This window comes from Homo sapiens, chromosome 11 (genome assembly GCF_000001405.40).
Source record: "Homo sapiens chromosome 11, GRCh38.p14 Primary Assembly".
NCBI lineage: Eukaryota > Metazoa > Chordata > Mammalia > Primates > Hominidae > Homo > Homo sapiens.
Window position 1 is genome coordinate 115274821 of NC_000011.10, and position 12179 is coordinate 115286999.

The 12179-nt window shown below is 39.1% G+C and overlaps 1 protein-coding gene across 7 annotated transcripts in view, besides 1 other annotated feature; it reads right to left on the reverse strand.

Annotated features, from left to right (window-relative positions):
• Positions 1-12179, reverse strand: part of CADM1 (cell adhesion molecule 1) — a 335180-nt gene that overhangs the window by 105585 nt on the left and 217416 nt on the right. The gene's annotated exons all lie outside the window — the stretch shown is intronic.
• Positions 10009-10303: a silencer, noted in NCBI's record as "tiled region #15022; HepG2 Repressive non-DNase unmatched - State 23:Low, and K562 Repressive non-DNase unmatched - State 24:Quies". NCBI's record gives its function as "represses a minimal TATA promoter and a strong SV40 promoter by Sharpr-MPRA in HepG2 and K562 cells {active_cell/tissue: HepG2 | K562}" and the evidence as "EXISTENCE:reporter gene assay evidence [ECO:0000049][PMID:27701403]".

Sequence of the window (12179 nt, forward strand, 5' to 3'; positions counted from 1 at the left end):
TTCAGATCTTGTGTCTTCCCCCAGATCTGTCCTGCTTTCACCATAAGCGCTCTCCTTTTGGCCCCATCTTGACTCCTGCCCTGGGTCCTCTACAAAGTCCCTTCCCACGAATTTGTCTCAAGGCCGTTTGCTGCCATGGTATTTTCAGTTGAGGTAACTGAGGTCTGCAATCAGGATTACATTTCAGCCACTCTAAATGGTCATGCCATTTTCTTAACCAGCTCAAGAGAAAAAATGAGCATGGAAAAACTTGGGAAAACCCACTCCTTTCAATTTCACAAAAATCCTTCCCCACATTGCGCCACTGCCCAGAATCAGGCCCACTAACAGCATGGCATGGCCCCTCCCCGTGGGAGCCACATACAGTCATTTCTCTATGCCTACCTCCTCTCGCTCACGTCCTCTCACCCATGTCCTCCTCTCGCCCACGTCTTTCTCACCCCTTGGCTGCCCAATCAATTCCAACTCATTTTTCAGATCTCAGTGCAGGTGCGATTTCCTTCAGGAGGCCTTACCTCACTCCAACCTCCCTAGACAGGCTCGCGACTCACAACATCCTGCCCTTCCCCATCTTAGGACACATAAACTCGTAACATGCTTTACAACGTGACCTTAGGAGATAGATGCTTTACTGTTTCCCATCTATGAAATAGAGAGAAAAATTTCTGTCAATTCCATTTGTATGGCATATAAGATTGAAGATAAAAGGTGTACACAGTTCTTTGGTAGCATAGGGACACATGAATTCAAGATATAATTGTTGGCTCTTTAATTCTACTCTTGTATTTTGCAAGTAACTTATTAAAGAACTAGTGAAGCATAACTAAAAATAAAGGTGTTTTTAAGAGATTTTAGAGGGGTTGGAGGGGAGGGAATAGAAATGTATCTTAGTTAAAGGTTCATTTTAACTTCTCTAAGAGGACCCAGTAAGCCTTAATAAGGAGAAAAATAAGAATGCGTTAGAGGATAATGGTGCGCTTGCTACTTAAGGTTCCACGTTTCCTGTTTTCCACTAACGGAGACATATTTTTTTCTTTAAATTCAAGCTGGTCCCATTAGCTGCAATTTTCAATTTACTAGTCTTTTCAAATAGCCACAGAACATCCAGGAAACACAAAAATGTGTCTATTCCATGACTAAGGTTAACAGAAGCTTAGTTATTACCATTACTTGTATTTAATTTCAAGCTTGCCAACTCATAGCTTCAGAAGGAGAAAAGGAGAAAACAGGTTATTTAAAATTGATGTGTTTTATCATTACCCATCATTAAAAAATGATGCTGTTGTACCATTTCAGAAGTAGCAGGCAGTGAATATTTAATGCTTATACTAGTATTTATTAATTTCGCATCTCTACAATTCTTCATAGAATGACTATTTTAAATGACTATGATTTACATTTTTCACAGATGCTCTGGCATTTAATTTCCACTTGCAATGCATTTGTATTTGTGCTTAAAAAGCTACCCAGTAACACCTATAAATCGAGGAACTGCTTAAAACAATAGGCACCATCAGGATTAGGAGGGGGAAAGTCACATGTGTGGGCATTTGTTAAAGAGACAGCATATGGGAGAAGGAAAAGAGGTAGCTGCAGCATGCCACTCACAAATCTCTTTGTAGAATACATTAGATGAATGAAACAGAGCCAAGTCAACAGACAAAGCGGCGTGGAGACAGATAGAAAAATATACACAAGAATACACGCACAGATCCTCACAGTGAAAAATAAAATATTGTATGTAAAGCCATACATATTCATGGTGATTTGGGGAGCATCAATGTTATTTTTGTGTTCTCATTACATCATAAAACTCTGGAGGGCAAGAACTGTCTTATACAATTAAGTTTCCTTATTTGTCATGTACCTAAAAACTAACTTACAAGTATTTTTATTGACAAATATCTTTCTCTGACAATTAGTTGTTGATTAGAATGCTGCCAAAAGCCCCGTGGGTACAAATAAGCTGTTTCTACCCTAGATGCTGCTCCAATCATCTCTACACTAAGCCAGCATTCTGGTTCTCAGCACCCGAAAACCCTTATTTTCCTGCCCTCATACTGTCATCTGTCCCCTGTTTCTTCCCTGCACCAAGCATCCCACTAGCTCTGCAGAAGCGGAAAAAGAAAAGTCGATCTGTGCCGAACACTAATAAAGACCACATTTTCTCAACAAGATTGCATCCAGTAAATTGCGAGCCCGAGGGCAAAATACAGAATGGGGAAGGCTTGTCAGCAACGAAACATCTCACAGTTGGTAGCCAAAAGCCAGCTTGAGTAGACGGGAACATATTGCTGACCAGCAACACAATGCCCCACCACAAAGTAAGCCATAGCAACATCTTTTGCTCCTACAAGTTTCTGTTTTGTTTTGCCTATTAGTATTATTATGCAGCATTGATACCCTGAAAGCTCACATCAACCACCAAGCTCTAATGTTGTTACGGAGACTCGATGAAAGCCATGGCTTGACAAAATACACAGGGCTCACAGCTCCCTGAAATGCATGCTAAAGAGTAGGGTATGCTTTCTTCTTTAACAACAACAGAATGTGCAGAACACTATCATTAATAATAATAACAACAATAATCTACAGTCCAGTGAAATTATGGGGACTATTCCACTAAATGTCAAAATTAAAGCAGATCTTAACTAGTAGAAATGCTAGTTATAAATCCCTTCATCGAATTCAGAGATTAAAACAATACAATTACTAGGGTCGAGTAATTGTGAAAGATGAGAGGAAAGAAGCTCTTCTATTCTTCATAAAGTTCCTGCTCCAAATAGGTTTTATACGCCATCCTCATGCTTGGTTCACATGAAGAAGGCTTCTGTTAATGGAGGAGAGACTGCCTTTTGTAATATTTTTATTTTTTCCTCTCATACTCGTCATCAAATGACACTGACTAGGCATTTAGTATAGACTAAATGCTGAAACTACCAAAAAGAATAAACTGCATTCCCTTTCATCAAGGACCTTAGGATCTAGCTGTACAGACAGAATAGACAAAAAGAAGAATATGAAGCCATTTGTGCTAAATACTGAGCAAGTGGTCTAGGCACAAATCTCTGCAGAACTCCTTTCTCTACTGCTTGCCAATGTACTTAATACAAGATTCATCCTCATCCTCAGTTTCTTCCATCCCTGGTATCAAACTTCCGATGACCATGCCCCTCTCTACCTATCCTGTAATTCCCACCCCTCCCCAATCACATTTTCATCCCCTGCAGAGAAGCTTATCTCTACAATAAATTCCCTCACCACTATATCCTGTGGATTGCCATGAAACCTTGCCTGATTATGTTGCATAGAAGTGATCATTTCTGCCTCTTTAAATTCCATGTGCACTGTAATAAAGGGAAAGAATAATAATACCCGCCCTGTGAACTAAGATGAGAAAAAAATATGTAAACACTTCGAACAGTAACTAGCACATAGAAAATGTTCAGTAAATGTAAGCTATCATTATTACTAGTCACAGTTTGTTAGAATTGTATGTGGTGGATATAAGCAAGTAAAAGAAATAGAACTTAACCTCTAGCAACTCAGGATTTAGTAGGATAGATAAGAAAGGTCTTCATATAACTAGGATAAGGAGCAGGGCATAATAAAGATCATATGAATATTTCAGAAAGGACTGGTAGGAGTTAAGAGAGAGGAAGAAGGGCCTTATTTTGTCATTACTATGGAGGGTTCTGAATGCCAGAGCCAGAAATAGAGACTTTATCCTATAGATGTTGAAAAATGACTGAAGGTAGTTAGAAGTCGATGAGTATAGAGGGAACAGGGTAAAGAGGTACCACATTCCACAGTGTATTCCACGAAGAACAATTCTACAGAAGTTTGTAAGAAGGACTGAATGTTGTGTGATAAGGGTGGGAAATGCGGACCATGAAAGTAAAAAGACTAGCGAAGAGGTTACTGGAGCATTGCCAGGCAAGTCAATGCTGGCCTGAACCAGGGAGGGAGGAGCAGCAGTCTCCACAGGAAAGATCAGATCCTAGAATTACAAGGAAGGAGTTTATACAATGTGGTTGATCACAAAATGGTGGTGAGAGAGGATGGAGGGAATAAAGGAAAATGCCAAGATTGAGTCTGGAGGACTAGGACTTACTGCCGAAGATGGGAAGCCTGGAGGACGTGGGCAGGGAAAAGTAGATAATGTGTTCCACTAGCTGGATGGTGTGTAGGACTACATTTTCCAAGTGAGCTCAAGGGTGAAGCTGCAGATTTGGGAATCACCCAAATCAAGATGACAGTTGAGTCAGACCTTCAGAGACCACTGGTAAGACGATCCTGTCCCTAAGAATGTCATCCTCTCCAATCCCACATTCCACTAGCCCTTTGTGGACAGACCCTTTAACAACCCATAAGTCAGAAAACTAGACTCATTAGCACTTATTTCTAATTGTAATATATTAAGTAGACGTTTCAAGGTTGCAAAAATGGATTTGGGGGTATAGTCAATGCCTACCAATGGGTTGTCAAGTGAAATCAGATACTTAACATTTTTACCCACCTCCTCCCCAACCAAATATTTCACAAAGACCATGTAAGAGCAAAGTTTCAGGCTAAGAAAGGGGAATTATCCTGTACACAGTCCCAATTTTCTCCTGAATATCCAAGATCTACTTTATGCTATAATTGCTTTTCTTTTCTAAATGAAAAACAGTTAAAACCCCAGGGATTTGTACAATAGATTCTGTATTAGATAATGCAAAGAGATTTTGTTCTTTCATTTTACAAGTTATAGGTGAAAACTGAACTCTTCCCTTTTCTAAAGAAAAACATTTAAGGGCTGGGGAAACTGTTACAACTCTTCAGATTTTATTGTGCTATGAAATACCTTTAATGACATAATTCCTCTATGGTAAATGATATCCAAAACAAAAGCTTTTTGTCAAGGATGGGGTGGGGACAAATTTATAAAAAATATATGTAATTTTTCACACATACCCAAATATATTAAGCGCAGATCTTGCCATGGGCACCGCATTCAGTTTAATTAGAACAATATTCCTTCTTACATGTGAAATATTTAGCTCCTACCCAGCTCATCACGCTGCAATGTTCCCCTGTCCCCAAATGAAATTACGGCAAGCCAGTACCCTAGGATGAGTGCGTGACTCGCATACTGCACAGCTGTAGAAAGCTAAGCCCCTTCTCATCAAAGGACAGCAGACTTGGCCGCAATGCATGCTAACATCAAGCCACTGGATTTAATCCAGTTAAATACATGCCTCAATTAGTAAGACATTTGCTATCCAGTTAAGGATGTGAATCTTGAGTTGATAACCTCTACAGACTATCTTATTTCTGTGTTTCAAAAGTTATAAAGCAAGAGAAACAAAACAGACAGTGTGGTGTGTACAGGAAGCTCATGGATAGTGGGAATAGCTTTAACAAATATACCATCTTTTCTTTGACTCTATTGGACAATAGAGACTCATCAGTCACAGCCGGTCATCTCATTCTCCCAGAACTTGGTTTAGGTAGTAGATGTAAACATGGCCACAAAATGGAATGCCTTTTTCACTCAAATGGAATCTGAGCAGCTTTCTTTCTAGAGGGGTTATAAAAATAAGCTTTTTATGGCTTGCATCTCCAAACTGCTTTATGTGGCATAGTGATGAAAAATGCTGGAATTTGTATATAATGTAGCCACCAGATAAGAAAGCAGGAAACAGAAAGAACAGGGGATTAATTGTTAGTCCTACCGAATGAACTTTACCCTGATAAGGCAATCCAGTCCCTGTAGGCATAGAAGAAGAAAAAATTACAGCACTCTGAATACACAGAGAGTTATTCACATTGTATACAAATCAAAGCAGGCCTCCTGCAACAGCTACGACTCAGATCTTCACAGATCCGTGGTGTATCTCCATCAACAGAATTAAACAAGGCAGTCTGTTCCGAGTGGGCAGCAACATTGCTGACCAGGCTGGCAGACAGGAGGATGTCAAGAAGATACATTTTCTATCAAGATGTGGCTTTATCAACGAGTTTACTTATTTACCTAGGAATTTGGTCTTTCAGTGATTAATGACGAGGAATTCTACCATGAGAAGTGACCTATCCTTAATGCGTTCTGCTCAAAAACAGGCAGCTAGAAACTGCACATCTCCCTAGACAGTTTGTCAATTTCAGCTTCTCAATGGAATAGAAATAAGAGCTCACTAATGACAACTGCGAGGGCTATGGCCCCTCTGGCCTTGACCTAATGTTAGCTATAAATGGATTGAACTCCCGGTAGATTGGGAAAATCCACCCAACTACAAGACAGAATCTGTTTCTTTCATTATGGAAAAGGGCTACAGAAAGAACCACACTGTATCTTTTTGCCTGAGCATTCCTAAAGCTATGGGTCCTGGAAGATGCCTGACCATAGTTGTGTCAAGCTATTCTGAACAGACCTAACAAACTTATCCAGAGCGTAGGAGGCAGGCTCTTTTGTAGCACAGGGAATGCCCAGGAACTCCCAATAAAAATAATAAATCATGGGAGTATTAATTCAGCCAAAAGAGTTTAATTTTAGGGAACTGTCCCCCTCAAGACTTGAGCTTAAAGAGAACACTAAGATAAATGCTATTTTTACATCTTGCAGAAAAATAGATTTTTAAAACGGGGGCAAAGCCACTTTCAAAACAATTCTCAATTTTTTTAACCATTTTTCTATTATAAATTTTGCATGAATTTATTTCAAAGTTGTTGAGCTTTTAAAAATCGTGTGATCCAGCTTAAGATTCTGAATGGCCACCTCCAGTTTCATCTGCCAAATAATGAAACTTGTTCTTCAAGGAAATCATTTAGTTCTATGAGAGTTTAAAATGAGTCTGCTAAAAAAAAGATGGATCTTCAGATCCAGGGCAAATATGCAGTACAAGGTACACCTTAAGTGGAAATACATGAGCTGTCTATAACTACAGCAGTTTTCAATGAAAAAAAGCTTAGTTCCTAATAAATAAAAAGAATGTACTTTTCAGCTAAACAACTGATGTGCAAAAGGTAAGTTTAAAATCATAATACTATATTTAATGGCTAACTGAAAAAAAAAAGAACACCATGTCACTGACATTTAATCATGAGGTTAAATAAATAACTGGTTCATTTTTTGTTAGGTGTCCTTCTGTTTACAACACAATTTAAACTAGCTCTACAAAGTAAAACATGTATCAAAGACACACAAGCCATCCATCTTAGAGTTTTATTGAAAATGTTTGTCTAGATTTAATAAGATCCTTCCAGTTCCTTGCTTTATTATTTTTTTTGGTAGACTCTTAATAAAAAGAAGAATTACTGAATAAGTAATGCTGATTACCATGAACCAAGTACTATGGTGATGTCTTATATGGATTATCTTTTTGCTATCGTCACAGTAATCCTATGGGATAGGTTCAGTGAGTAATCTTATTTTGCAGATGAAGAAAATGAGTGGTTATGTAACATGCTTAAGGAAGCACAGCCAAACTGGTACCCAAGCCAGGATTCAAACCCAGCTGCATCTACCCTATGGCTGGAACCTTTAGCTTCCAGGATATTATCTTGTACTTTTGAAAATGTGACGTGATGACCTAGATACATGATTATGAGTAAATGTAAAGGTCAGACCTCATTATTTAAATATGAACACAATATAAGAGGCATCTTAAGTTCTGACGACACTATAGTTAGCAACTTGGGTTCACAATCACCAGTGCATTCTTATCACAACACTATAAAAACATAGCCCAGAATGCCCACAGCTTTGTTCCCTCATTCATTTCTAGGAAAGTGTTGGCAATTTGCTCTCTGGGGAGCTGTGATGGGAGGACCAATGGTTCTCCTAGGGTGTTGTTAGAGGAGACAGATGACCAAGGCAGCTCTCCATGGAGGCTGCATTTTGGGTTTCTGGTCAACACATCTTCATACACCAATCGCCTTAAATGGTCAAAGTAGCTGAGACAAGAAGGACTATGAATTAGGGAACAGTCAGGATCTTGGCAATTATTTACAGGGGATGGAAGAGGTTATAAATGGGGACATGCTTATATTAAAATGGAAACGAAAGCTAAGTGGGGTTAAGAAAAAATCCAGGGTTTATAGTAAAATACAGTATTCTACAGAGCATAGAAATTACTGGCCTTTAACGTACACCAAGGCAAATGGCCCCATGAATCCATCTTTAGCCTCTCTGTGGGCTGAATTATGCTCCACACGATATACTAAAGACAGCCATGAACAGCTTTTATAGCTTTGATGAATGGCTTTTTAGTTTAGGTTGCATTATGAGAACAAAACAAGTGGTTGTGAATCATAACATTTTATGGGTCTGCTGCTTCATATAGTTTTCTAAAATTAAGCCTCTAAATTATATTCTGCCCTCATTAGGAAAACAGTCCCTGAAAGAGGAAAGCATTTTAGAGGCTACGCAAAAAGAGGTGATGGTAGATCTGTGCCTGGAGAGCCTGAAGTATAATTAAATCGATGGGAGCTGAGGAAGAAAGGATAGGTTGGTAGAAGGAAGTCATGTTGCTGCCCAAGAACCCAGGGCCAGAAGACAATGACTATAATCAGCTGGAGTTCACTGCCCCTAAGCAAACAAGGTTCAGAGGCCAGCCATTTTCAAATTATAGAAGGTATTGGAAGGAACGCAGTGAGGGGAAGTCATCCCTGTGTAAAGCCACAGAGGTGGAGGGAAGGGAAGAGGGTCTAAGCAAATCAGTGAGTGTTTACTGAGTATTTACCATCCACTGAGTGCTGTTTAAGACCCTATAGGGTTTAAAAAGGCAGCATAAAAATAAAATGAAGTCCATTATCCTCAAAGTAGTTACCATCCAGCCAGGGAGATAACAGACAGAAAGAAAACAATGCAAGGCAGCAAAAAATTAAATGCCAACTTCCCTGGAAGCTACTAAAGCCACGCCAGACATTCAGGGCAAAGTGGGATCGGTGCAGAAGACTAGGCAAGGTCTGGGCAAGGCTCCCACAGGGCCCTGTGCCACCTGTCGTAGTGTCTACCATGCTGCTGTAAAGGCCTGGCCTTGCTTACAAGTCCCCACTACACTGTGAGGTCTCAGTACAGAGGCTTGCCCACCTTGTTCAGCGTGGTATCTCCAGTGCTCAAATGTCTCTTGAATAGGACTGAATGCAATGGACAAGTGAAGAAAAGCTTTAAGGGATCGGGTCCTAGACTTGCTCCTGAAAAATGGTAAAATTATTGAGGCTGAAAGTGGCGTTCCAGGCAGGGGGGCCTGTGAGAACCAGGGTGAAGATCTACAAGCCCAGACACTCTCTCTCTCTCTCTCTCTCTCTCTCTGTGTGTGTGTGTGTGTGTGTGTGTGTGTGTGTGTGTGTGTATGGTGAGGAGGCAGAGAAAGCAGACGTGGGCAGACAAGAGAAGCACTTGTAGTTTGAAGACTTTCTGCTCCTAGAAATGGGTCAATTATTTTGTGGCCTAGAGATGATCCAGTATTACATTATTACTAACAAAAATAGATGTGAATTATTTTAATACTACTACTGTCGATGTTGTCTGTTGCCAGCAGAAATAATTCCCACACACAGCACAAGAGAAGGGAACAATAGGCTAGCCAGTCCTTTACTAGAATAATGCTCCCGGCTTCCATTTCTTTTCAATAGATTTTCATGTCAGTTTCACTGCTCTACTTTACCAATTATTTAAAGGTTATAGTCAGTCAGACAAGGTTTGTCTAAAAAAAAAAAACAGAAAGGAAAAACGTAAGAGGAAGATAGTTTTCAAAAAGGAATAAAGCACATTCATGAAAGTTTACATACTGTAACCAAGCACAATTCCAAATGTCTAGTTCCTCCTTTTCTATTTTTTCTTCACCACTACAACCACCCCAGTCACTCTGATTAATTTTTTTTAAAAAAGAAAGAATACAAACATTTTCTAATGCTTTAAAGTTACAATGTAGGGTGTGCATTAAAGTCAAAGGTATTATGTATTATTTCATGCCCTAATATTTTTGATTTTTAAAGGAGTTTAGTTAAATAACTAATGTTCTCCTATTTTCAATACGTCTAAGTGGTTAATGCAGGATTTTCTAAGTTCGTTCTTATTAAATGAACTGACCAAAGTCTTTACTTCCTAGTTAAATGGACTCTATCCAAGAATGCCATGGAAGACAAAGAAATACAGCTGGTTCAGTGAGTCAATCCAACGAAGCATTCACCCTCAGCCTCTGACAGCTCAATCTCAATGCTGCCTGACAGTATGAAGGATTGCTAATTTCTTATGCTCTCACTGGTGGTTCTTAAATGCTCACCAATGAACCAAATGTTGATCAGTCAATGCCAAGGAATCAGAAACCAAATTGCCAACCCCCTGATTTATACAGTCGAAGGACTCAGGAGAGTATGACTTTACCTTTCAGGCTTAAAATCAGATCGAACACTTAGAACTTACTAAAACGTTTTAATAGACACATTCACACTGAAAACAATTGTGAACACAATTTATAATCTAAAGGAGAAAAACTAATATAGCTCATAATATGTAAACTTCGTTGTGTACCTACTCTGTGCTACAAATTGTTCTAAGTACTTTAGATACATTAGTTCATTTACCCTCAATAAAATCCCAATGAAGTAGTAGTCTTATCCCCATTTTAAGTGAGGAAGCTGAGGCACAGAGAGTTGAATAACTTGTTCAAGGTCACCTGGCTAGTAAGGAGTGAAGTCTGGAATCGTTGAAAGAGTTTTACAAGTGTGGTGTCTATGATGCAAGTTGGTATAAGGAAAGAAGAAAAGACATGGGCTAGAAATATAAAGAAAAATTTAACACTCACTGAGTGACTGCTATGTGTTTTCATATATTTCATTTAATCTGAAAACAAATACAAAGAGGGTATTCAGTAGCCTAAGTTTGATAGATGAGGTAGAAGAGAAATTAATGTGTCTAAGAGCACACAGGCAGCTGGGGTTACACCTGGAGCTTCTGAGCTCTCGGTGAACCCCTCCCTCTGAGCCACTGTAGCTCTCTCATCATGTGGGTCCTGTGGGGCAGAGCTTGAATCTTAGCATGAATCCCCGGTGCCCCGCCAAGAGCCTGAAACCTTGGCACTCAATATCAGCTTTTACAGAGTGATGTTACTTTACTTTTCTGAGCCTCAATATTTTTCATCCATAAAATTATCATAGACATGGTTGTTTTGAGGGGAAAATGAAATAATTTAGCAGAAAGCACCATGATATACTCAAAGGCCACAGACACCTGTCAATCGTAAAAGCATAAGTAACAAGAGACATAATCAGCTCTTAGTTCTTCAGTTCTTCTAAAAGAGGTGGTAGTTTAGATATGTGTAAATAAAATTAAATTTTAAAAATGTTTTTATATAATCTTTTTAAATTAGCAAACGAAATTGCTACTCGTTATATGCACACTGAAGTTTACTTTGCAACCGCAGCAAATCTGTAGCACCCATTATCATAAATTTATTCAACAAGGGCTAATATAATACTACAGTATAATCTTTTCTCCCCCACATCAACACTCACACACTCACACCCACACTCACACTCCAGAACAAATACACAAAGAGAACCAAAGGAAATTTCATTTTGTTTAGGCCAGGAAACACCTATTAGCCATTCTGTTAAGGCTCAGGGCATTCAGCTTATATACAAAACTGATTACTATATGCATTTTCAAAGGAGTTTAAATGCAGTGACCTGACAGTGGACACAATAATGAAACAAAAATTCTCATGACCCTGCTCAAAGTAATACTATTTTTAAAAATGGAAACCTCAGTAATATTTTAATTTACAATAAGTGCCTGCTTCAAACGCAGTCCATGGCTGCTTAGGATTTCTAGTTGAAACAGAACCCAACTGGGGTAAAACATACATTCTGGTAGTTCAATTTGTTATGTTCTGCATAGGGCCTGTCTTTACAGAACTACCTCTCCCCCCAGTTAAGGAACAATTTTGCCAATCAGTTTTCCTGGCAACTCAGCCTCACAAAAGAGAGAGGGAAAGGAAGAAGCAGGGGTGTTGGGGAGGTTGCCGCACCTCCTGTCACATCACTACTGATTAAAGAGGCTCCAAAAGAACAGAAGGAAAGTGCATTTCAAGAACAACAGAACCTTTCAGCAAAAGTACATTCGCCTAATTGAAAAGCTACTCGAAGCTGTTATTTTTATATCCCAAAATGCTGAATCATTCTTCAAACAATTT